The 23,526-nt window shown below is 53.6% G+C and overlaps 1 protein-coding gene across 11 annotated transcripts in view, besides 6 other annotated features; it reads left to right on the top strand.

The window, feature by feature from the left end:
- A4GALT (alpha 1,4-galactosyltransferase (P1PK blood group)) overlaps positions 1-5,956 on the top strand; it is a 29,181-nt gene extending 23,225 nt beyond the window's left edge. For 4 of the 11 annotated variants that reach the window (NM_001318038.3, NM_017436.7, XM_006724266.4 and 1 more), the window contains exons 2-3: positions 2,446-2,586; positions 4,080-5,956. In NM_001318038.3, coding sequence (NP_001304967.1) covers positions 4,126-5,187 — 1,062 coding nt within the window. In that variant the 5' untranslated portion in view covers positions 2,446-2,586; positions 4,080-4,125 and the 3' untranslated portion in view covers positions 5,188-5,956. Of the gene's footprint in view, positions 1-2,445; positions 3,535-4,079 lie in introns of all 11 variants that reach the window. The other 7 variants (XM_005261648.5, XM_005261647.4, XM_047441412.1 and 4 more) reach the window with 5 other exon arrangements.
- Positions 3,103-3,602: an enhancer, noted in NCBI's record as "H3K4me1 hESC enhancer chr22:43090481-43090980 (GRCh37/hg19 assembly coordinates)". NCBI's record gives its function as "activates a minimal SCP1, AML or CMV promoter by ChIP-STARR-seq in primed H9 embryonic stem cells {active_cell/tissue: H9 hESC(primed)}" and the evidence as "EXISTENCE:reporter gene assay evidence [ECO:0000049][PMID:30033119]".
- Positions 3,603-4,104: an enhancer, noted in NCBI's record as "H3K4me1 hESC enhancer chr22:43089979-43090480 (GRCh37/hg19 assembly coordinates)". NCBI's record gives its function as "activates a minimal SCP1, AML or CMV promoter by ChIP-STARR-seq in primed H9 embryonic stem cells {active_cell/tissue: H9 hESC(primed)}" and the evidence as "EXISTENCE:reporter gene assay evidence [ECO:0000049][PMID:30033119]".
- Positions 4,499-5,020: an enhancer, noted in NCBI's record as "H3K27ac-H3K4me1 hESC enhancer chr22:43089063-43089584 (GRCh37/hg19 assembly coordinates)". NCBI's record gives its function as "activates a minimal SCP1, AML or CMV promoter by ChIP-STARR-seq in primed H9 embryonic stem cells {active_cell/tissue: H9 hESC(primed)}" and the evidence as "EXISTENCE:reporter gene assay evidence [ECO:0000049][PMID:30033119]".
- Positions 9,333-10,224: an enhancer, noted in NCBI's record as "H3K27ac-H3K4me1 hESC enhancer chr22:43083859-43084750 (GRCh37/hg19 assembly coordinates)". NCBI's record gives its function as "activates a minimal SCP1, AML or CMV promoter by ChIP-STARR-seq in naive H9 embryonic stem cells {active_cell/tissue: H9 hESC(naive)}" and the evidence as "EXISTENCE:reporter gene assay evidence [ECO:0000049][PMID:30033119]".
- Positions 10,225-11,114: an enhancer, noted in NCBI's record as "H3K4me1 hESC enhancer chr22:43082969-43083858 (GRCh37/hg19 assembly coordinates)". NCBI's record gives its function as "activates a minimal SCP1, AML or CMV promoter by ChIP-STARR-seq in primed H9 embryonic stem cells {active_cell/tissue: H9 hESC(primed)}" and the evidence as "EXISTENCE:reporter gene assay evidence [ECO:0000049][PMID:30033119]".
- Positions 11,115-12,006: an enhancer, noted in NCBI's record as "H3K4me1 hESC enhancer chr22:43082077-43082968 (GRCh37/hg19 assembly coordinates)". NCBI's record gives its function as "activates a minimal SCP1, AML or CMV promoter by ChIP-STARR-seq in primed H9 embryonic stem cells {active_cell/tissue: H9 hESC(primed)}" and the evidence as "EXISTENCE:reporter gene assay evidence [ECO:0000049][PMID:30033119]".

Genomic DNA, 23,526 nt, shown 5'->3' with positions numbered 1-23,526 from the left:
GGGTTTCACCGTGTTGGCCAGGATGGTCTTAATCTCCTGACTTCATGATCCGCCCACCTCAGCCTCCCAAAGTGCCGGGATTACAGGCGTGAGCCACCGCGCCCGGCCATGCCCTGCACCTCTCCTCTCTCCTCACTTCCTGCCTAAGATGAGTCATGGGGAATCCTGGCGATGGGAGCCATGGAAGGGCTTAGAGCAGGGGAGTGGCCACAGTAACAGGCTAACTGGGAGTAGCTCCCTGGTGACAGGGCGGGAAGTAGTGAGCCTGGAGGCAGGGGCAGGCAGCAGGGGTGTGCCAGGCCCAGCTGACAAGGTCCAGGACATAGGCTGCAACTGCGAGGCCCGTCTCGGGGGCCAGGAGCATGCTTTGGGCCTGAGGTCACCTGGATATTGGGCTGCGGCCAACTTGGCCCCATACACAGTTTCTATTCCTGGGTCTTGGGCTCTGACACCAAATATGGCGTGGCCTGAGTCTGGCACCCCCAACTGTGGTCCGACGACATATCCTGCTCCTCCAAGTGGGCCCGGACCCCGCCCACACCATGGAGTCAGATCATGCCAGCACTCGGGGCCCCCAAGTGGGCAGAGGCTCCTGCTGCTGCTACTGGCCCTCCAACTGTCCACCCGTCCGCGTGGTTCACATGGGGTTAAAAGTACTCAGGACCAAAATAGCCCCTCTCCCTGCAGAAGAAAGACAGGGGCAGGGGGCACCATGTCTTGGTTCACACCACAGCCCTGTCCTTGCTACCCGCATCCCAGGGAGCTCACCCGGCCTCTGCCCCCCACCTTTCGCACTGGCCCACTTGGTCACACAGCGATCTACACACTCATTGGTTCACTCTTACTGGTCACTCACTCGTTCACTCATTCATTCATTTACTGATCATTCATTAATTCACTCATTGGTTAACTCATGGAATCACTGCCTATTTATTGACCACATACTAAGAGCTGGACACCGTTCTACCATTTCAGAGCTGAACAAAACACAAAACATACCTATCCTCATGGGGTTATGTTCTAGACAGACAACCAAAGCAAATAAGTAGGATGTACCGTGTGTTAGAATAAATGCAAGGATGAGGAAACGAGGGGGCTCTGAGGTGATGGGGGGAGTTGGAATTTCAGGGGGCCCAGGGAGGACCTGGTGGGAAGGGGACTTTTGAGTGGGCATCTGAGAGAAGAACCCTCCAAGCAGAAGAACAGCAGGTGCCAAGGCCCTAGCAGCCGTTTGAGGCCTGAAAAACAGGCGGCCAGGTGTGGCTGGGGCACAGGTGGCGGGGAGAGAAGCAGAACGTGAGGTCAGGGGGACACATGGGGCCCAGTGGATCAGGGCCTCATGTCATTCAGGGTCTGAGCTGAGAATGACGTGGCTGATATACTTGTAAAGCATCCTGCTGGCTGTTGAGTGAATGGGTCAGAGTGAGCCATTTTCCCATGTGCCTGCTGCGTGCTGGGAACCTAGCTGGGTGCCGGGGAGAGAAGATGCAGGTGAACCCTAGATGCTTATTCCCATGGTGCTTGCAGAGGTCTGGAGCCACCACTGTCTCCTCCATCTGACCTGCTCATCCTTGGTGCTTAACCATGTGTCACCTCCCCAAGGGAGTCACCATCTTTGTCTGTTTCCTTTTTTCTTTTTTTTTTTTTTTCCTTTTTGAAACTGAGTTTTGCTCTTGATGTCCAGGCTGGAGTGCAGTGGTGCAATCTCGGCGCACTGCAACCTCCGCCTCCTGGATTCAAGCAATTCTCCTGCCTCAGCCTCCTGAGTAGCTGGGATTACAGGCATGCGCCACCATGCCCGGCTAATTTTGTATTTTTAGTAGAGACAGGGTTTCTCCATGTTGGTCAGGCTGTTCTCGAATTCCCGACCTCAAGTGATCTGCCCACCTTGGCCTCCCAAAGTGCTGGGATTACAGGCGTGAGCTACCGCGCCTGGCTTTTTTTTTTTTTTTTTTGAGATAGAGTCTGGCTCTGTCACCCACGCTGGAGTGCAGTGGCACAACTTGGCTCACTGCAACCTCCGCCTCCCTGGTTCAAGCGATTCTCCTGCCTCAGTCACCTGAGTAGCTGGGATTACAGGCGCACACCACCGCGCCTGGCTAATTTTTGTATTTTTAGTAGAGACGAGGTTTCACCATGTTGGCCAGGCTGGTCTCGAACTCCTGATCTCAAGTGAGCCACCACGCCTGGCCTCTTTGTCTGTTTCTAAATGATGCCCCCACCAGACTGAGAACTCCTTTAGGGAAAGGCTGTGTCTGATTCTCCCCTTCTCCTGGGTACCAGTGCAGGGCCTGCCCCTATTCCCTGAGTGTCCCCTGAGAGGTGGAGCGAGTGAATGAATCAGTGAACACATGAGCCCCAGGCCTGACCTGCCTGTGTGGCCAGGGGGACGAGGCCTCTGAGAGCCAGCGACCTGTTTCACTCTCTTCTTGCCATCTTTTGCAGATGGATTTGCAGCCGCTGCAAGTGTGTGGAAGGGCCGTGTTCGTGTTGGCAAAGAAGGTCGGCTGCTGAGCCAGGGCGTGTCTCCCGGAGGCCTGTGGGCTGCCAGGATCCCCACCTCTCTGCAATGGGCTGCCCAGGCTGGTCAGTTACCAGCCAGTGACATCAGCGAGGTTCCCTGCTCTCTACCCTGGGAAGGGCCCAGCCTAAGTTACCAAGCCCCAGGCTCCCAGTACCACCCTCAGCCTATGTGGATTGCCACCCCACCTTCTGCCTGTCCTTGGGAGGGGACCGACTCTTAGCTCCCCTTAGCAATCAGGTTGCACCCAGTCCCTTGACTTTATGCCCAGGTTTCCTGGCACCTAAAGTAGAAACGATGCAACTGCCCCTCGGGCTTGCTGAGGGTCAAAGGGGGTGTGACTTTGTCATGGAGCGTAGAAGTCAGAGTCGATGGTGATCCCGCTGGCTGTTAACATCGATACAGTTCAGGTCAGCATGCACCAAGTTCCTCCAACACACCAGGTACATTGGCTAGCCACCTCTCCCAGGCAGGGCGGTGCAGTGGTGAGAGCAGGGACCCCAGCCAGGTGGCCTGGGTCCTAACCCCCTGCACTGTCATTGCTGGCTGTGGGACTCTGCACAAGGTACTGCACTTCTGTGCCTCAATTTCCTCATCTGTAGGGTGGGGGTGGTGATTGCCACCCCATAGGGTGGTTATAAGGGGCCACACATGTTCCTATGTGTGAGATGCTGAGAAAGTCACCTGGCATGGACAGGATGGACAGCCAGTATTTATCGAACTATGAATGAATGAATGTTACCCTTTAGTGGGTTCCAGCGTCCTATCCTGTCGGTGGGAAGACTGAGGCTCAGAGAGCTCCGTAACTTGCCCCAGGTCACACAGCCGGTTCAGGCAGAGTTGGGGTCTCATGCCTCCCAGGTGTTCCCACAGTCTTTTCCCCAGGAGCAGGGTCCAAGCCTGCTGCTCCTCCAACCACCTGCGAGGCACCTGGGCATGTTCCTGGCCACCAGGAAAGAGAGGTCTAATGGCAGTAGTACCAGTCAGCGTCATGTGCCTGGAGCGAGTGCCCTGTGAGTGCACCTGCTGGGCCAGCCCTTAGCAAACCAACGCCTGGGCCTGCCGGAGCCCCAGACCTCATGCTGAACATCCTCAGGGCCCCTCAGTGGCCTGTCCTTAGACGAACCCCAGGCCTGGTTTATGGAGCTGAGGCGGGCATGAGCTGGGCCTCAAATCCCAGGCTGCCAATCCTCACAGAGCCCTGTGTGTCACATGGCGAAGCCATCACTTCTGACAGTCCTTACGCAGACCAGACTCTGGCCTGGGCCTGTGATGGTTACACACCATGGGTGGCACTGGCCTGGTCCTTGGGTGAGCTCACAGGTGTGTCGCAGAGAGTGGAAGGGACCCTGCTCAGACCCCAGTCCATGGCCCACTGTGCTCCCATTTCGTAGGTGAGCAGCCAGCAGGCTGGGGTTCAAGCCTTGGCCCCTGTGGGCCCAGGAGCCCATGGGCTTGGAAGCCAGCCTTGGCTCTGGCTGATGTTCACAGGAAGCGTTTTCCTTGTGGATCGGGAATGCCAACGGCCTCCCTGATGGCGGGTGCTCATCTCTTGCAGACCAGCCGGTTCCTGCTGGAAGCTCCTGGTCTGATCTGGGGATACCATGTCCAAGCCCCCCGACCTCCTGCTGCGGCTGCTCCGGGGCGCCCCAAGGCAGCGGGTCTGCACCCTGTTCATCATCGGCTTCAAGTTCACGTTTTTCGTCTCCATCATGATCTACTGGCACGTTGTGGGAGAGCCCAAGGAGAAAGGGCAGCTCTATAACCTGCCAGCAGAGATCCCCTGCCCCACCTTGACACCCCCCACCCCACCCTCCCACGGCCCCACTCCAGGCAACATCTTCTTCCTGGAGACTTCAGACCGGACCAACCCCAACTTCCTGTTCATGTGCTCGGTGGAGTCGGCCGCCAGAACTCACCCCGAATCCCACGTGCTGGTCCTGATGAAAGGGCTTCCGGGTGGCAACGCCTCTCTGCCCCGGCACCTGGGCATCTCACTTCTGAGCTGCTTCCCGAATGTCCAGATGCTCCCGCTGGACCTGCGGGAGCTGTTCCGGGACACACCCCTGGCCGACTGGTACGCGGCCGTGCAGGGGCGCTGGGAGCCCTACCTGCTGCCCGTGCTCTCCGACGCCTCCAGGATCGCACTCATGTGGAAGTTCGGCGGCATCTACCTGGACACGGACTTCATTGTTCTCAAGAACCTGCGGAACCTGACCAACGTGCTGGGCACCCAGTCCCGCTACGTCCTCAACGGCGCGTTCCTGGCCTTCGAGCGCCGGCACGAGTTCATGGCGCTGTGCATGCGGGACTTCGTGGACCACTACAACGGCTGGATCTGGGGTCACCAGGGCCCGCAGCTGCTCACGCGGGTCTTCAAGAAGTGGTGTTCCATCCGCAGCCTGGCCGAGAGCCGCGCCTGCCGCGGCGTCACCACCCTGCCCCCTGAGGCCTTCTACCCCATCCCCTGGCAGGACTGGAAGAAGTACTTTGAGGACATCAACCCCGAGGAGCTGCCGCGGCTGCTCAGTGCCACCTATGCTGTCCACGTGTGGAACAAGAAGAGCCAGGGCACGCGGTTCGAGGCCACGTCCAGGGCACTGCTGGCCCAGCTGCATGCCCGCTACTGCCCCACGACGCACGAGGCCATGAAAATGTACTTGTGAGGGGCCCGCCAGGTCACCTCCCCAACCTGCTCCTGATGGGGCACTGGGCCGCCCTTCCCGGGGAGGCAAGATTGAGGGCCCGGGAGAGGGAGGCCCGAGCTGCCACCGGGCTTAGGCAGGCTGTTGAGGAGCTGTGGGAGCAGGCCCAGTGGGAGGCTGTGGACACCCCGAGGACAGTGTCCTGTCTCGAGGCAGGGCTGACACATGGTGCCATAGCCAGCGGAGGGCGCTCAGTGAGTGCCCCGGGCCTTCTAGACAACAGGCAGGAAGGATGAACCTCAGGGCACCCCCAGGTGGTGCGGAAAGCCAGGCAGTTGGGACAGAGGTGCCCACGAGGGCAGAGGCCGGTGCTAAGGGGATGGGGAAGAAGGGACAAGATTCCCAGAGAGGAGAGGAGGCTGTTGGTAGGAAAGTGGCAGGGCTGGGGGAGACCCAGCCCCAAGGGTCCGGGGCGGAGGATGCTTTGTTCTTTTCTGGTTTTGGTTCCTCTTTCGCGGGGGGTGGGGGAGGTCAACAGGGACTGAGTGGGGCAGAGGCCCAGAAGTGCCAGCCTGGGGAGCCGTTTGGGGGCAGCCCCTTCTGCCCACCCCATCCTTCTTCCTCTCCAGAGATGCCAGGGGGGCGTGTATGCTCTGCCCCTTCCCTCAGACAGGGGCTGGGTGGGGAGGCTCTTTAGGCTCAGGAGAAGCATTTTAAAGAAACCCCCACCCTGCCGCCCGCATTATAAACACAGGAGAATAATCAATAGAATAAAAGTGACCGACTGTCACTTCGGGCCTTGTGATTGGTGAAGTGTGTTCAGGCTCACAGCCTCCTCCGCTCCATTCTTCTGACGGGGAATCCACTGGGTGGACTGGTGGTGACTTTGCCAAGGTCTCACAACCTGCCCAGCACGGAAGGGCTCGGGACCTGGCTCATAGCCCCAGTGTCCCTGGTGATGGAGAGCCCCCGCAGTGGGGAATGGGGGGAGCCTGTTTTTCCCTCCTCCTTTTTCAAGGCTCACAAACACGGAAGGTTGGGTCCCACCAGCACAACTCCCCCCATGACAAGCCTGAATCTGTTTAACATAAATGGGACCAAATGTGGACACTGAGGAGCCCACCGCCGGAGCAGGGCTGAGCTGCCACCCATCCAGGGAGAGGTCCCAGTGAGGGAGCTGTGAGGGCCTGTGGCTGAAATCCCGGGAGGGACCTGAAGTGCCTTGTGGGCGGCTCCAGGACTGGGCCATAGGAATATCTGCTCCCCGCAGGGCGAGACCCCAGCTGGTTTGCATTGTGGAAGCTGCCTAGGCGTTCCCCACCAGGACTGGGGGTGCTGCCAGGAACACTGGGGCCCAGCAGGCTGCTTTTTGGCAGCTGAAGGGGGAGGCATTCATTGGCCTCCGTTTTCTGCCCACAGACCGTCTTGAGCAGCGTGGGAAGGAGGTGAGCTCCCTGGCTCTTAGGAGTATTCAAGAGCAGGTTATGTGTCGTTTTCTTGGGTTTCTTTCTTTCTTTTTTTGAGACAGAGTCTCGCTCTGTCACCCAAGCTGTAGTACAGTGGCCCCATCTCGGCTCACTGCAACCTCTGTCTCCCGGGTTCAAGCGATTCTGACCTCAGGTAAGCCACTGCACCTGGCCCAGGTTTTGTTTTTGATGAATACAAAGGATTGTTAAGTCAGTGATTTCTCCAGCCACAGCAGCATTTCAAATGAGCAGGTTTTACTTAAATAATACAAATCATATCCTAACTATATATGTATGTGAACAAGTGAGATGACCTTTTAGAGTCCAGCATTGTTTAGTCATTTGACCATCATACAGTGAGTGCCTACTCGGTGCCAGCATGAGGTCAGGAGTTCAAGACCAGCCTGGCCAACATGGTGAAACCCCGTCTCTACTAAAAATACAAAAATTAGCCAGGTGTGGTGGTGGGCACCTGTAATCCCAGCTACTCGGGAGGCTGAGGCAGGAGAATTGTTTGAACCTGGGAAGCAGGGGTTGTGGTGAGCCGAGATCGCACCACTGTGCTCCAGCCTGGCTGACAAAAGCGAGACTCCGTCTCAAAAAAAAAAAAAAAAAAGGCCGGGCACGGTGGCTCATGCCTGTAATCTCAGCACTTCGGGAGGCTGAGGCAGGCAGATCATAAGGTCAGGAGTTCAAGACCAGCCTGGCCAATATGGTGAAACTCCATCTCTACTAAAAATACAAAAACTAGCTGTGCATGACTTGGGGCGCCTATAGTCCCAGCTACTCGGGAGGCAGAGGCAGAATTGCTTGAACCCGGGAGGCGGAGTTTGCAGTGAGCCAAGATCGCACCACTGCGCTCCAGCCTGGGTGACAGACTGAGATTTCATCTCAAAAAAAAAAAAGGAAATTATGAAATTATGTGCATAAATGTCTGCTTAGGGCAGAGAGGTGGGTAGGAAGTGCCAGTTCCCAGGGAGGATGCTGTTGACTCCTTATCCACGGCCATTCTCCTCCCGCTTCTTTCTTGCTAAGGAAACCCCAAGTTTGTTCAACCCTCAGGTAGCTTAGGGCTGTAGAGGAAGTGGGCCCTCCCTAGGCCTGGGGGTGAATCTCTTTTGGTCTAAGCCAGTCCTAGTCATTCCAGTCCCTTCCTAGTAATTTGAGTGGAAATGGGCATATAATGCTATTCTGGCCAATGAGAGGGCAAGTCAGCTGGAAAAGAGGGCTCTGAGAAAATGTTCATAGACAAGAAAGCAACATTTCTGCATTTGGCAAAAGGGTGTAATGCTCCAAGCAATGGCAGCCATCTTGAGGCCGTGAGGGGACAAGTCTGAGATCAAATGTCACCATACTGCATCCTTGAAGACATGAAGACCTCAGCGAGCTGCTGAATTAACCAACCCTGAAAGCGCCCTATCCCGACTCCTTGTCTCGTGTGTTAGATGCTATTTACCATCCTCAAGTGTCCATTCTTCTTGTGGTCCTTAGAAAAAGAACACAGCGAGTTCTAGGCAGACATAGCACCTCCCCTTGGCAGCTGGCTGTGGCCATGTGACTAAGTCCAGGCCAATGGGATGTGAACAGGAGTGATGCGGGCAACTCATGGATGATCTTAAAGACATTTGCTTTGGGCACTCTAACCCGCTTCCCACTGGCTGGAGCATGGCAGCAGCTGGAGTGCTTTGCAGGGCACATTTTGGGGGTGGCAGAGTGGCCCCAGTGGCCTTGGAGCACTCACCTTGGGACTGTAATGTGAGACAGAAACAATCTTCTTTTTTTTTTTTTGAGACAGAGTTTGACTGTTGTTGCCCAGGCTGGAATGCAATGGCGCGATCTCGGCTCACCGCAACCTCCACCTCCCGGGATCAAGCAATTCTCCTGCCTCAGCCTCCCGAGTAGCTGGGATTACAGGTGTGCGTCACTACACCCAGCTAATTTTGTATTTTTAGTAGAGACAGAGTTTCTCCATGTTGGTCAGTCAGGCTGGTCTCAAACTCCCAACCTCAGGTGATCAGCCCGCCTCGGCCTCCCAAAGTTCTGGGATTATAGGCATGAGCCACCGTGCCTGGCCTAATTTTTGTATTTTTAGTAGAGACAGGATTTCACTGTGTTGGCCAGGCTGGTCTCGAACTCCTGACCTCAGGTGATCTGCCCACCTTGGCCTCCCAAAGTGCTGGGATTACAGGCATGAGCCACCGTGCCTGGCCTGGTCTCGTTTCTCTCCTTGGAAGTTGGTGGGGACCGGGGCTGGGTTCTGATTTTTGGCAGTGGACTAAAGCTGGGAGGAATGTCTCACGTCTCACCTCCCCTTGGTTTCCTGCTGCTGCTGCTGCTGCTGCCGCCACACCCACCCTGGAAGGGGATGCTCCTCCTCCCCCAACCCCACCGCAGCACAGATCACACCTGAGTCCAGGGCCTGAAGCCTGGTCCCACCCTGACCCCCAACCTCACAGCAGAATTCCGAGCACGCCTTGCACTGGGCTAGTCCAAGTTAGAACAAGCAGAGATTTAGGAACAAGTGAACCATGAAACCAGACTTCCAGGAACACGGGGGCTCACTCATCCCCGATCTCTGTTGGGCACTCAGAGGACATTACAATTTAATATTTAAACAAGAAGTTGAATATTGATACACCAGCAAGGGGGAATTATTTTCCTTCCCCTAGAGCTGCTGGGAAAACGACTCCCTGCTTGCCTATGCCTGGCCAGCTGGGAAGATTCTTAAATAACCGACTGGACACCGGCCCCAGGCCACGCAGTGCTCCCCCAGTAAAGGATAGGTCCACGTCTTTCTCAGTCCTGGCCAAAAACGTCTGTGAACACACCCACTAGAAACAAGCCAGGAACAAACCGCTGCTCTGAGGATCTGATTACATTTCCCCAGGGCAGGTTTCCACCAGAGCGAGCGCCCCTCCCTCCTCCTTTCCCAGAACTCCGTTGCCCAACAACTGTTCCAGCTCCTGCTCCTGAGGCGGGGGCAGCCTGAGGAAACCAGGGCCTCAGGCGACAGCCGGCTCTGTTAGGCAGGGGCAGGACAAAGTGCAAGGTCCCTCTGGAATCCCCCAAGGCAGAGGGCAGGAGCCAGACTCCTCCGGTAGCTGTGGGGGCTCGGAAGGGGACATTAGACTCTGGTCTGTGGCTGTTGGCGCAGGGAGGTGAAGAGTGGTAGCTGCCCCCCGAGGCAGGCACTGGACCCCTTCTCGGCTCCCCAGCCAGCCTCCTTCCTACCCTGTGCACAGAACAGTGAAGGTCTGGGTTCAAATCCCAGCACCGCCACCTACTTGCTGAGCTTCTTTCTCTGTGTGGAAAGTGGAGGTGTGATAACACCACTCTGTGTCGTAGAGAATGTGTTCTGTGCCAGGGGCTGGGCTGGCTCATTTGATCATTACAACCATGCTGGGAGGGGGCACCACCCATCTCTTTGCAAAAGAGGAGATGCACAACTCTGGCCAGGGGTCGGTGGCCAGGAGGCAGGAACGGAGGATCTTTGGGACCCCTGCCCTGCCCCGGGCCTTAGACCCATTGCTCCCAGCCCAGAGGTGCAAGAACACAGCACTGTGATGGGCAGAGGCTGGGGTCCTCACCTGGCCGGGTGGTGTGGTGGCAGCGGGCATCTTCTGGCCTTGCAGCCTTTCTGCTGTTACCTCTGCCCTGCCTGTGCCTGTCCTCACTGCCTCTGTGTTCTCCAGGATGCTACTCTTATTTCTGGCCAGCTGGATCCTACTCTTATTTCTGGCCAGCTGGATCCTGGCCCATTTACATAGTTGCATTAAGAGGCTGGGCTGAGGCCAGGTGTGGTGGCTCACGCCTGTAATCCCAGCACTTTGGGAGGCCGAGGCGGGCGGATCACTTGAGGTCAGGAATTCAAGACCAACCTGGCAAACATGGTGAAACTCCATCTATACTAAAAATACAAAAATCAGCTGGGCTTGGTGGCGCATATCTGTAATTCCAGCTACTTGGGAGGCTGAGGCACAAGAATCGCTTGAACCCAGGAAGTGGAGGTAGCAGTGAGCCGAGATGGTGCCATTGCACCACCACCCAGGTTGGAGTGCGGTAGTGCAATCATGGCTCTCTGCAGCCTCAAATTCCTGGGCTCAAGAGATCCTCCCCCCTCAGCCTCTGAAGTAGCTGGGACTACAGGCATGGGCCACCACGCCCGCCCAGCTAATTTTTAACTTTATTTGTAGAGTCGGGGTTTCACCATGTTGCCTGGGCTGGTCTCAAATTCCTGGCCTCAAGGGATCCACCTGCCTTGGCCTCCCAAGGTGCTAAGATTACAGGTATGAGCCACCGCGCCCGGGCTGGTTATTGTTTCTTGATCTGGTGCTGGTTAAGTGGTGTGTAATTTGGTGAAAATTCACCGATTTTAGATTTAGAGTTTGTGGACTTCAAGAACATTGACATGAACAACAAGACAGAGGCCGTGAGGGTGGAGGAGAGGGCAGTTGGAGAGGCACTTGGGCCAGGGAACAGGGCTGGATGTTGGGGATTTAGGGTGCAGCCTGGCTTCTGGCCAAGTGGCTGGAGAGATGGGAGGATGAGCAGATGAGACACGCAGCTGAGACTGAATGTGAGGGGCCCCCCAGAGATGTGGCTCCCGGGGACCCAGATTGAGAAGCTGACCTTAAGGTGATGGGAAGTGGTGCCGTAGGAAGGAGGGCTGGTTCTGGGTGAGGCAGCTGAATGAGGGGCATGGAACCTGAGCACCCATTCTAGGGGCTGCCTGCCCCCAGAGAGTGGGTTCTGGAGGAGGGCCTGGGGGAGATGGGGAGAGGACCAGAGCCAGCAGCATCCAAGGAGTGAGCAGGGTAGCATGGAGAAGTTCTGGAGCTGCTGCTGACACGTGGCCTCAGGAAAGAGAACCAAAAGCTGGGGCCCTCAGAGCCCCCTGTGTCAGCAGCGCCAGGCACCCTGGTCTGGGACAAAGGCAAGTGGCCACACCCACCTATTTATAGAAGGCAGCTGGCAGGGATCAGGGGAGCCTTACAGGGGCCCTGGGGGAGGGGGCACTGGCAGGGGATGATGAAGGCTCTGCCAGGTCTCTGCCAGCCCCGCCCATACCCTCAGAGCAGAGGCCAGGCCAGAGTTCAAGGAGATCTGGGACAGATGCAGGCCGACTGCACCCTGCAGGCACAGCTGGGCCTAGGAGCAGGGGCTTTTGTCCATCTGTGCTCTGTGGAGTGAGGGAGCTTTTTCTTCTCTGGCCTTGCTGTCCTTTCCTGTGGTATAGGAGACCCCATTTGTCTATGCCATGAGACCATGTACTCCTCCTGGAGCCCAGGGTGGGGTTCCCTCTTGGCCCCAGCCCAATCCAGGGTTGGACAGGACATGCCTGCTTACTGAGGGATGAATAAATGAGAAACTCACGTCCCCAGAGGCTGAGGGACCTGCACAAACCCCAGGCCTTCTCCTGGCCACTCACACCCCTCTGATGTTGCCCTAAAGACCTCAGGGCCTCCAGGTGCAGAGGCTCACACCTGTAGCCTCAGCACTTTGGGAGGCCAAGGTGGGTGAATCACTTAAAGCCAGGAGTTCAAGACCAGCCTGACCAACATGGCAAAACCCCATCTCTCCTAGAAATACAGAAATTAGCCAGGCATGGTGGCAGGCACCTGTAATCCCAGCTACTCAGGAGGCCGAGGCAGAAGGATTGCTTGAACCCAGGAGGCAGAAGTTGCAGTGAGCCGAGATCACGCCACTGCACACACCAGCCTGGGAAACAGTGCGAGACTCCATCTCAAAAAAAAAAAAAAAAAAAAAAAACCCTCAGTGCCCCCAACAGCAGGGGCTGCTGATAGGGTGAGTTAGGCCTCCAGACCAGGGAGTGGGGAGGGGCCAGGCTGGGCCTTGGAATTTAGAGCCTTGGGGCCCCTGGGAAATTCACCTCAAAAATTACCTTAGAAATTCAAGAGAGGGCCAGGCGCAGTGGCCCACGCCTGTAATCCCAGCATTTTGGGAGCCTGAGGCAGGTGGATCACCTGAGGTCAGGAGTTTGAAACCAGCCTGGCCAACATGGTCAGAACCCATCTCTACTAAAAATACAAAACTTAGCCGGGCGTGGCGAGTGCCTGTAATCCCAGCTACTCGGGAGGCTGAGGCAGAGACTTGCTTGAACCCAGGAGGTGGAGGTTGCAGTGAGCCGAGGTCGCACCACTGCACTCCAGCCTTGGCAACAGAGCAAGAAACCGCCTCAAAAAAAAAAAAAATTAGCTGGGTGTGGTGGCGGGCGCCTGTAATCCCAGCTACTTGGGAGGCTGAGGCAGGAGAATCGCCTAAACGTAGGAGGCCGAGGTTGCAGTGATCCGAAATCTTGACATTGCACTCCAGCCTGGGCAAAAAGAGCAAAACTCCATCTCAGAAAAAGAAAAAAAGAAACTCGAGAGAGTTAATTGAGGATGTGTAAACCACACTTGAGAGATCCCTTGGAGGGCTGCCCTGCAGTGTCATGGACAGAATGTTTTTCTAGCAGCTGATAGAACCGGCCACAAACTCCCTGTGAGATCTGAGCAAGTTACATCTTCTTGGAGCCTCAGTTTCTCCATCTGCAAAGCTGGGCAGGGAACCGGGGAGCCTTTGCCCAGTTTCTGGCCCTAGAATTCCTGATTGGATGAAGATCTTCAGGGGTCTTGGGGTAAGAGCTGGAATGTGGCCACAGGCCCTTTGTGACGCATGGGTGGGATCTGGGATTGGGGGTTTGGACCCAGCTACCTTGGAAGCTGCCTGTGTCAGGGCTTGGGAGGAATGGTCCAGGTGCAGCCCGCAGAGCCACGAGAGGGCATCCATGCCAGGAGGCCACATCCCAAAGTCCAGGGGCAGTGGAGGCCCATGTGATGTCCCTGGGTGGCAGGCATGGTCCAGGGGAAAGTGCCCACCACGTGCTACCTCACCCAGCCCTCTGACATGGGTATCATGATTGTCATTTTGCCAAAGAGGAGTGCCCAGAGAGGGCAAGTGTATTTTCAGAGTCACACAGCTGTGTCTAGGGCATCTTCAGCTCCTGCCATCCAGAACAGTGGCAGCAGCTCAATCTTGAGCCCAGAATGACTCCCACCTCCAGCCTGGCCCTATGGTCCTCTTCTGTCCTCTGTCCATAGAGCACCTCTGTCTCCCTGCAGGCTGCAAGCATCTCAAGGACAAGACCAGGTTGTAGAATAACCCCTTTCACCGGCTACAGGATTTTACCTTTCACAAAGCACTCCCTCTCCCTCTTCTGCACAGAACTCTGAAAGGCAGACATGAGCCCCGTGTGACCCAGGAGAACTCCAAGGCCCTGAGAAGTTGGAGGCCTTGCCCGAAGTTCACAGCTCCTAGGAGACAGGGCCACAGTCCAGATCTGTCTGACCCAAGCCTGGGCTTATGTTGTGCTCCACCCTCCCTCAGATAAACCAAGAAGGGCCAACTTGCTAATGGGGAAATGCAGGCAGGGCCACAAGACCACCCCTCTTTCCACACAGTCACATGCAAGCTACAGTCAGGTCCATTTTGTCAGGGAAAGTGCAGACTGTTAGAAGCCAAGAAACTTGAGTGTAATGTGGGCATCCAGGCAGAGTGAAGCCCTGGGGAGTAAGTTCCCCTAGCTCGCCCTGCTGCTGGCAACCATGCCCAGTGCCTGGCTCGGCCTCCCTGGCTGCTCTGAGAGGCCTGGCCCGGGCTCTGCAGGCGCTGGAGCCAGCGGAGGCATCTGGATCCCATAAGCTTGTCATGAGCTGGTTTGAGCAGAATGGCCTCAACAGCCCCCAGAGAGCCCCCCTCACCCCTGGCTGCACTGATGCAACTCCCATCTGTCCCCAGCCCACAGCAGCTCCCAGGGATGGAGAGTGTGAATCCTCAGGGAGGGTTGTCTAGAGGCCCTGGGCTGGACGGGGATCCCATGCTGACCGGTGGACACGGCCCCGAATCCCCCTGCACTGCACTTGCTGCTCTGTTTTGCCTGTAAGCATCTCCCCCATCAGACCGAGCTCCTCCAGGATAAGAACTGTGTCTGATTTATCTGTGAGCTGCCAGCATCGCCCTGCCTGGGACCTGGCACAAAGGAAGTGTCAGGTGACTGCTAAATGAATGAGTGAAGGAATGAATGGATGAAGCATCGTCTCCATGAATCAGCCAGGGTCCAGTTAGGAAAACAGGAACCTTATGAGTTATTTTACCATAAAGTATTTAATGTGTAGGGAGTTAGCTAAAGAGGCATTGACAAAGCCATAAAGAGAACCCTGAAGGCAGCAGAAAAGGCCATCTCCAAGAAGCAGCTACCACACCAGAGGAGGCGAGACGAAGAGGTGGGAGCTACTAGAGCCTAGAAGCTTGGAGGGGGTGCCCGGGGCTAGAAGTCACACCTCTAGGCAGGGCACAGTGGCTCACAGCTGTAATTCCAGCATTTTGGGAGGCCGAAGCAGGTGGATCACTTGGGCCCAGGAGTTCAAGATCAGCCTGGCTAACATGGTAAAACCCCGTCTTTACTTAAAAAAAAAAATACAAAAAATTAGCTGGGCATGGTGGCAGGCGCCTGCAGTCCCAGCTACTTGGGAGGCTGAGGCAGGAGAATCGCTTGAACCTGGGAGACAGAGGTTGCAGTGAGCCGAGATAGCACCACTGCACTCCAGCCTAGGTGACAGAGTGACACTCTGGCTCGAAAAAGAAGTCACACCTCTGAGGAGGAGGAGAGGCTGCCCAGCCTCAGGATCTTGGAGAAGGGAACCCCCCTGAGGCAGCACCCAGGCCTCAAAGGAGGGAGTGCCAGAGCCTCTGAGCAGCTGGTTCTCGGAGCACAGAGAGAACTTTGGAACTGTGTGCTGCTGCTGACTGAAGAGCCATCAGCAGGGTGATTTTGGCAGGACACTGAGCAAATAAGGAATAAGTCTTTCCTCTCTCCTCCAGCCTTCCAGTCTCTCTCTAGTCTCTCCTGTTGGCAGAGCACAACAGGCTGCCAGATGGCAAAGGAGACACGCAGTGTGCAGAGGCTCCCACCCAAGCAGGGGGCCGGGAGCCCAGCCCCATAGCATGGGCGGCCCCACTAACACAGGTGCACCTCCATCAACAGCAACAAGCATGTCATCCTTCTGCTTCGAGTGATGGACCTTCTCTTCCTAGAAAGATACTTTCACTCCCTTCCCCCAGAGGAGACACAAAGTCCAAAGGATCACTGTGTCCATCTCTGGGAAAGGTTAATTACTCTTCCAAGTCAACCACAACCTCACCTGTGTGTTCTGCAATCTAAAGAATACATTTTAGGCTGGGCGCGATGTGGCTCGTGCCTGTAATCTCAGCACTTTGGGAAGCCGAGGCAGGAAGATCACTTGAGCCCAGGAGTTTGAGACCAGCCTGGGCAACATGGCAAAACCCCATCTCAACAAAAAATACAAAAATTAGCCGGGCATGGTGGTGCATGCCTGTAATCCCAGCCATTCAGGTGGCTGAGGAATGAGAATTGCTTGAACCCAGAAGGCGGAGGTTGCAGTGAGCCGAGATCACTGCATTCCAGCCTGGTTGACAATTCCAGCCTGGGTGACAGAGTAAGACGCCATCTCAAAAATAAAAAGAGAGAGAGAGAGAAGGGAGGAAGGGAGGGAAAAGGAAGGGAAGGAAGGGAGGGAGGGAGGGAAAGAAAAGAAGAAAAGAAAAGAAAGAAAAAAGAGAGAAGAAGGAAAGAAGAAAGTGAAAGAAAAGAAAGAAAGAAGGAAAAGGAAGGAAGGGAGAGCCGGGCACGGTGGCTCACACCTGTAATCCCAGCACTTGGGATGCCGAGGCAGTTGTATCACGAGGTCAGGAGATCGAGACCATCCTGGCTAACACGGTGAAACCCCGTCTCTACTAAAAATACAAAAAAATTAGCTGGGAGTGGTGGCAGGTGCCTGTAGTCCCAGCTACTTGGGAGTTTGAGGCAGGAGAATGGCGTGAACCCGGGAGGCAGAGCTTGCAGTGAGCAGAGATCACGTCATTGCACTCCAGCCTGGGTGACAGAGCGAGACTCCAGAAAAAAAAAAAAAAAAAAAGGAGGGAGGGAGGGAGGAAGGAAGGAAGGAAGGAAAAGAAAGAAAGAAAGAAAGAGAAAGAAAGAGAAAAAGAAAGAAAGAAAAGCAAAGAAAATGTATAGATGTATAGGCCAGGCATGGTGGCTCATGCCTATAATCCTAGCACTTTGGGAGGCCAAGGCAGGCGGATCCCTTGAGCTCAGGAGTTCGAGACCAGCCCGGGCAACATGGCAAAACCATGTCTCAAAAAAAAAATTAAGTAGTTAAATATATATAAAATATTTATATAATACATTTTAAACTTAATCACCAACATCAATGCTGAAATAAATCCGGGGAAGGAGGAAGAGAGGAGAAGACAATAGGAAGTTAGACAGGAGGGGAGAAGAGTGAGGAGGAGGAAAGGAAGAAATGTATGTATGTATGAGTAAAATACGTATACGTTTGTGAGTGTGCGTGCATTATTTTCTTTTGCGTGTGTGTGCATGCGTTTTTGGTTCAGTGGATAAGGAGCCTAACATGGCCAGGTGGCAATCTCAGCTTCTGACTAAGTGGAACCATTGTTGTCTGCTGGTAGAAACACTCCTCTCTTGGGGACCAAGACCTTTACCCCAGCAGAGCTCCAAGTTTCAGGAACCGGAAATGACAATTCTGTGGGTGATGACTCAGTGCAGTCATGATTCCTGGCTGTGTGTTCTGTCATGGAATGTGCGGGTCTCTGAGTCACCACACACTGTATCCTACAAGACAGAGCCTCATCTTTTCAGCGTGTTTCCTCCCAACTGGGGTTGTACCTGAGCCTTCAGGAGGTCATGCCACCACCATGCTGCTGGACCAGCTGTTTCTGGGTGGAGGGGTATCTCAGAGACAATAAGGGCCTACTCTGCCCTGGAAGATCCTCCACTAGGTCATGGAGGAAGCCCACCCAGCAGTCCTCTCCTGTGCTGCTGAGCCAGGCTGGGGGCTGAAGGCAAAGGGTGGTGGAACATCACCTTTGACCCCAGCTTGGTCTAAAGTCCCCAAATGTGATCCCCTCCAGGCTAAAATATCAGGGGGCGTTCATTCTATTTGAGTCTGGGAGGAAACAACAGGGATTGATCACAGTGAAGGCTCAGTGAGAAACAAGAAATGCACACCTCCACAACCCTGCAGGGTAATATTCAAAATAAAGAGCATGACTCCCCACAACAATGTGAATGCACTGAACACTCCTGAACTGTACACTTACACATGGCCAGAAGGATCGATTTTTATCTTGTGTATATTTTACCACAATTTTTTTGTGTTTTGAGCCAGGGTCTCGCTCTGTTACCCAGGCTGGAGTGCAGTGGCTCAAAATGCCTCCCAGAGTGCTGAAATTCAGGCATGAGCCGCTGCACCCGGTCTTATTATTTTTTAATAGAGAGAGGGTCTTGCTATGTTGCTGAGGCTGGTCTCTAACTCCTGGCCTCAACCAATCCTCTGGCATCAGCCTCTCAAAGTGTAGAAATTACAGAAGCGAACCACTGCACCAGGCTTGTTTTACCATGACTAAATTAAAATAATAATAATGAGATGGGAAGTGTGAGGTAAGGTCAGTGTATTACTCCATTTTCACACTGCTATGAAGAAATACCCTAGACTGGGTAATTTATCAGATGAGATTGTGCGTATTCAGGGTGGTACAGCCATCCACGAGACTGGGTAATTTATAAAGAAAAGAGGTTTAATTGACTCACAGTTCTGCATGGCTGGAGAGGCCTCAGGAAACTTACAACCATGGCAGAAGGCACCCCTTCACAAGGCGGCAGGAGAGAGAATGAGCACTAGCAGGGGAAATGCCAGACACATAAAACCATCAGATCTCATAAGACACACTCATTATCATGAGAACAGCATGGGAGAAACCGCCCTCCATGATCCAGTTACTTCCACGTGGTCCCGCCCTTGACATGTGGGGATTATTACAATTCAAGGTGAGATTTGAGTGGGGATACAGAGCCAAACCATATCATTCTGCCTCTAGCTCCTCCCAGATCTCATCTCCTCACATTTCAAGACACAATCATGCCCTTCCAACAGTCCCCCAGAATCTAAACATACTCCAATACTAACCCAAAACTCCAAGTCCAAAGCCTCATCTGAGACAAGGCAAGTCCCTTCTGCCTATGAGCCTGTAAAATCAAAAGCAGGTTAGTTATTTCCTTCCTGACACAATGCAGGTACAGGCATTGGGTAAATTCACCCATTCAAATGGGAGAAGCTGGCCAAAATAAAGGGGCTATAGGCCCCATGGAAGTCTGAAATTCAATAGGGAAGTCACTGAACCTTTAAGTTCCAAAATGATCTTTGACTCCATGTCTTGCATCCAGGTCATGCTGATGCAAGAGGTGGGCTCCCATGGCCTTGGGCCGCTCTACCCCTGTGTCTTTGTGGCATATAGCTCCTCTTCCTGGCTGCTTTCACAGGTTAGTGTTGAGTGTTTGTGACTTTTTCAGGCACACAGTGCAAGCTGTTGGTGTATCTACTGTTTTGGGGTCTGGAGGATGGTGGCCCTCTTCTCACAGCTGCTCTATACAGTGCCCCAGTGGGGACTCCGTGTGGTGGCTCCAATCCTACATTTCCCTTCTGCACTGCCCTGGCAGAGGTTCTCCATGAGGGCTCTGCCCCTGCAACAAACTTCTGCCTGGACATCCAGGCATTTCTATACATCCTCTGAAATCTAGGCAGAGGTTCTCCAACCTCAATTCTTGACTTCTGTGTACCTGCAGGCCCAACACTTCGTGTACGCCACCAAGGCTTGGGGCTTGCACCCTCTGAAGCAATGGCCTGACCTGACCTTGGCTCCTTTTAGCCATGGCAGGAGCTGAAACAGCTGGGACACAGGGCACTATGTCCCAAGGTGGCATAGAGCAGTGGGACCCTGGGCCCAGCCCAGGAAACCATTTTTCTCTCCTAGGCCTCAGGTCCTGTGATGAGAGGGGCAGCCGTGAAGGTCTCTCACATGCCCTGGAGACATTTTCCCCATTGTCTTGGTGGTTAACATTCAGCTCTTCATTAGGCAAATTTCTGTAGGCAGCTTGAATTTCTCCCCAGAAAATGGCTTTTTCTTTTCTATCACATTGTCAGGCTGCAAATTTCCTGAACTTTTATGCTCTGCTTCCTCTTGAACACTTTGCCGCTTAGAAGCTTCTTCTGCCAGATACCCCAAATCATCTTTCTCAAGTTCAAAGTTCCACAGATCTCTAGGGCAGGGGCAAAATGCTGCCAATCCCTTTGCTAAAGCATAGCAAGAATGACCTTTACCCGAGTTCCCAACAAGTTCTTCATCTCCACCTGAGATCACTTCAGCCTGGACTTCATTGTTCATACCACAATCAGCATTTTGGGCAAAGGCATTCAACAAGTCTCTAGGAAGTTCCAAACATTCCCACATCTTCCTGTCTTTTGAGCCCTCCAAGTCTCTAGGAAGTTCGAAACTTTTCCACATTTTCCTGTCTTCTTCTGAGCCCTCCAAACCGTTCCAACCTCTGCCTGTTACCCAGTTCCAAAGTTGCTTCCGCATTTTCAGTTATGCTTATAGCAGCACCCAACTCCTGCTACCAATTTACTGGTCTGTTCTCATTCTGCTATGAAGAAATACCCAAGACACTGGGTTTTGTTTTGTTTGTTTTTTTGTTTGTTTGTTTGTTTGTTTTTGAGAGGGAGTCTCGCTCTGTCACCCAGGCTGGAATGCAGTGGTGCGATCTTGGCTCACTGCAACCTCTACCTCCAGGTTTAAACAATTCTCCTACCTCAGCCTCATGAGTACCTGGAGTTACAAGCACCTGCCACCACACCTGGCCAATTTTTGTATTTTAGTAGAGATGAGGTTTCGCCATGTTGACCAGGCTGGTCTCGAACTCCTGACTCAAGTGATCCACCCACCCTGGCCTCCCAAAGTGGTGGGCTTACAGGCATAAGCCACTGCACCTGGCCAAGACTGGTTAGTTTATAAAGAGGTTTAATTGACTCACAGTTTCACATAGCTAGGGAGGCCTCAGGAAACTTAGAATCTTAACAGAAGGCACCTCTTCACAGGGTGGCAGGAGAGAGAATGAGTGCCAGCAGGGCAAATGTCAAACGCTTATAAAACAATCAGAGCTCATGAGACTCACTCATTATCATGAAAACAGCATAGGGGAAAACTGGTCCCATAATACAATTACTGCCACCTAGTCCCACCCTTGACATGTGGGGATTATCACAATTCAAGGTGAGATCTGGGTGGGGACGCAGGGCCAAACCATATCAACTAGGGACCACTGTGACAAAATCTGTGTCTGAACTTGAAACCCATCCAACAAATATGTGTCAACACTAATTGTGCTTAAAAAACACAAATGCCAACCCTAAAGTTCCTCAGATTTCAGGAGAATGTCAGCACCTTCCTTCTTTGCCTTTAGCAATTCAATATTTTAATAGCAGTGTGAAACTTCCTCATGACAAAACCTTTTCTTTTTTTTTTCGAGACGGAGTTTCACTCTTGTTGCCCAGGCTGGAGTGCAGTGGCACGATCTCAGCTCACCCCAACCTCCACTTCCCACGTTCAAGTGATTCTCCTGCCTCAGCCTCCCGAGTAGCTGGGATTACAGGCATGTGCCACCACCCCGGCTAATTTTGTATTTTTAGTAGACAGGGTTTCTCCATGTTGGTCAGGCTGGTCTTGAACTCCTGACGTCAGGTGATTCGCCCACCTCAGCCTCCCAAAGTGCTGGGATTACAGGCGTGAGCCACTGTGCCTGGCCCCCTCCTCCATTTCTGCCCCTGCCTCGAGCCTCTCCAGGGTTTGGGCTTGAGCCCCACCCACTCCTGCCCCAGAAACCCCTCCCAACTTCAGCTCTACTTTTGTAAACTCCAGCCTCTGAGCCCCCTCATCCTGTTCCCTGTCCCAGGGAAGTCCCCCACCTGCCTAACAGGCCTCAGAGCCAAATCAACCCAAATATTTCTTCAACAGGAAACTCAACATCCCAGCCACGCTGGGAAAACAAGGCTTAAAAAAAAATGAGAGGCAATAAAAATCCCCAAATGACTCTGTTCTGTTTTGACAGAGGGGAAAAAAAAACAGGATTTCACAAACTGGATTTTTGGCATTGCAAAATGGTCATCAACTCTCCCAACTTCCCAAGAGACTGAAAGGAAAATTCCCAGAGCTTCTTACTTTTTTATTTTCCGTTAAGTGCAGTCCATCTCCTAGTTCAATTACAGAAGGTCAGAACTGAGGTCGAGGGAAAAGAGTTCACATGAAAGAAGGAAGGATAGAAAAGATCAGGCTGGGTGTGATGGTTCACGCCTGTAATCCCAACACTTCCGGAGGCCGAGGCTGGTGGATCAATTGAGTCCAAGAGTTAGAAACAAGCCTGGGCAATACAGCAAAACCCCGTCTCTACAAAAAATACAAAAAAATTAGCCAAGCACCTGTAATCCCAGCTACTCAGAAGGGTGAGGCAGGAGGATCACTTGAGCCCAGGAGTTTGAGACCAGCCTGGGCAACATAGCAAGATCTGTCTGTATTTAAAAATCTATATATATTAGCTGGCATGGTGGCATGAGCCTGTAGTCCCAGCAACACAGGAGGCTGAGGCGGGAGGATCACCTGAGCCCAGGAGATCAGGGCTGTGATGAACAATGATGAACTGCACTCCAGCATGAGCAATAGAGTGAGACTCTGTCTAAAAGAAAAGAAAGGAAAGGAAAACTCCGAATCCAGTCCAGAGCCTTGAAACTTTGGGTTTCCTCAGCCTAACCAAAACCTGTCCTATCCTATAACCACTGAATTTCAAGACTGGGAGGGGCTGGGCTCGGTGGCTCACACCTGTAATCCCAGCACTTTGGGAGGCCAAGGTGGGTGGATCACTTGAGGTCAGGAGTTCGAGACCAGCCTGGCCAACATGGTGAAACTGTCTCTCCTACAAATCCAAAAATTAGCCAGGCGTGGTTGCAGGCGCCTGTAATCCCAGCTACTCGGGAGGCTGAGACAGGAGAATTGCTTGAACCCAGGAGGCGGAGGTTGCAGTGAGCCAAGATGGCACCATTGCACTCCAGCCTGGGAGCTAGAGCAAGACTCCATCTAAAACAACAACAACAACAACAGCAACAAAAAAAAACAGAAACAAACAAACAAACAAACAAACAAACTGTGAGGGACCATAGACCATAGAGATTTACTGGTCCAGCTGGCACATCCCTAGAGAAGCACACATCTCCCACTTTAAGACAATCTGGGCCGGGCACGGTGGCTCACGCCTGTAATCCCAGCACTTTGGGAGGCCAAAGCAGGCAGATCATGAGCTGAGGAGATCCAGACCATCCTGACTAACACGGTGAAACCCCATCTCTACTAAAAAAGTTTAGCTGGGCGTGGTGGCACACGCCTGTAGTCCCAGCTACTCAGGAGGTTGAGACAGGAGAATTGCTTGAACCCAGGAGGTGGAGGTTGCAGTGAGCCAAGATCGCGCCATTGCACTCCAGCCTGGGGGAGAGAGCGAGACTGTCTCAAAAAAAAAAAAAAAAGACAATCTGTAAGTTACCACACAGTACCATACAGAATACCCAGGAGACCCACACAGGGAGGCAAACACCCTCCATTAATAATGGCCTAAAGGGCCGGGCGTGGTGGCTCACGCCTGTAATCCCCACACTTTGAGAGGTGGAGGCAGGCGGATCACGAGGTCAGGAGATTGAGACCATCCTGGCTAACACAGTGAAACCCCGTCTCTACTAAAAATACAAAAAAATTAGCCAGGCATGGTAGCGGGCACCTGTAGTCACAGCTACTTGGGAGGCTGAGGCAGGAGAATGGCATGAACCCGGGAGGCGGAGCTTGCAGTGAGCCGAGATCAGGCCACTGCACTCCAGCCTGGGCGAGAGCGAGACTCTGTCTCAAAAAAAAATAAAATAAA

This window comes from Homo sapiens, chromosome 22 (assembly GCF_000001405.40).
Source record: "Homo sapiens chromosome 22, GRCh38.p14 Primary Assembly".
NCBI lineage: Eukaryota > Metazoa > Chordata > Mammalia > Primates > Hominidae > Homo > Homo sapiens.
The sequence above is the reverse complement of the archived record's forward strand: the minus strand, read 5'-3'. Positions and strand labels throughout refer to the sequence as shown.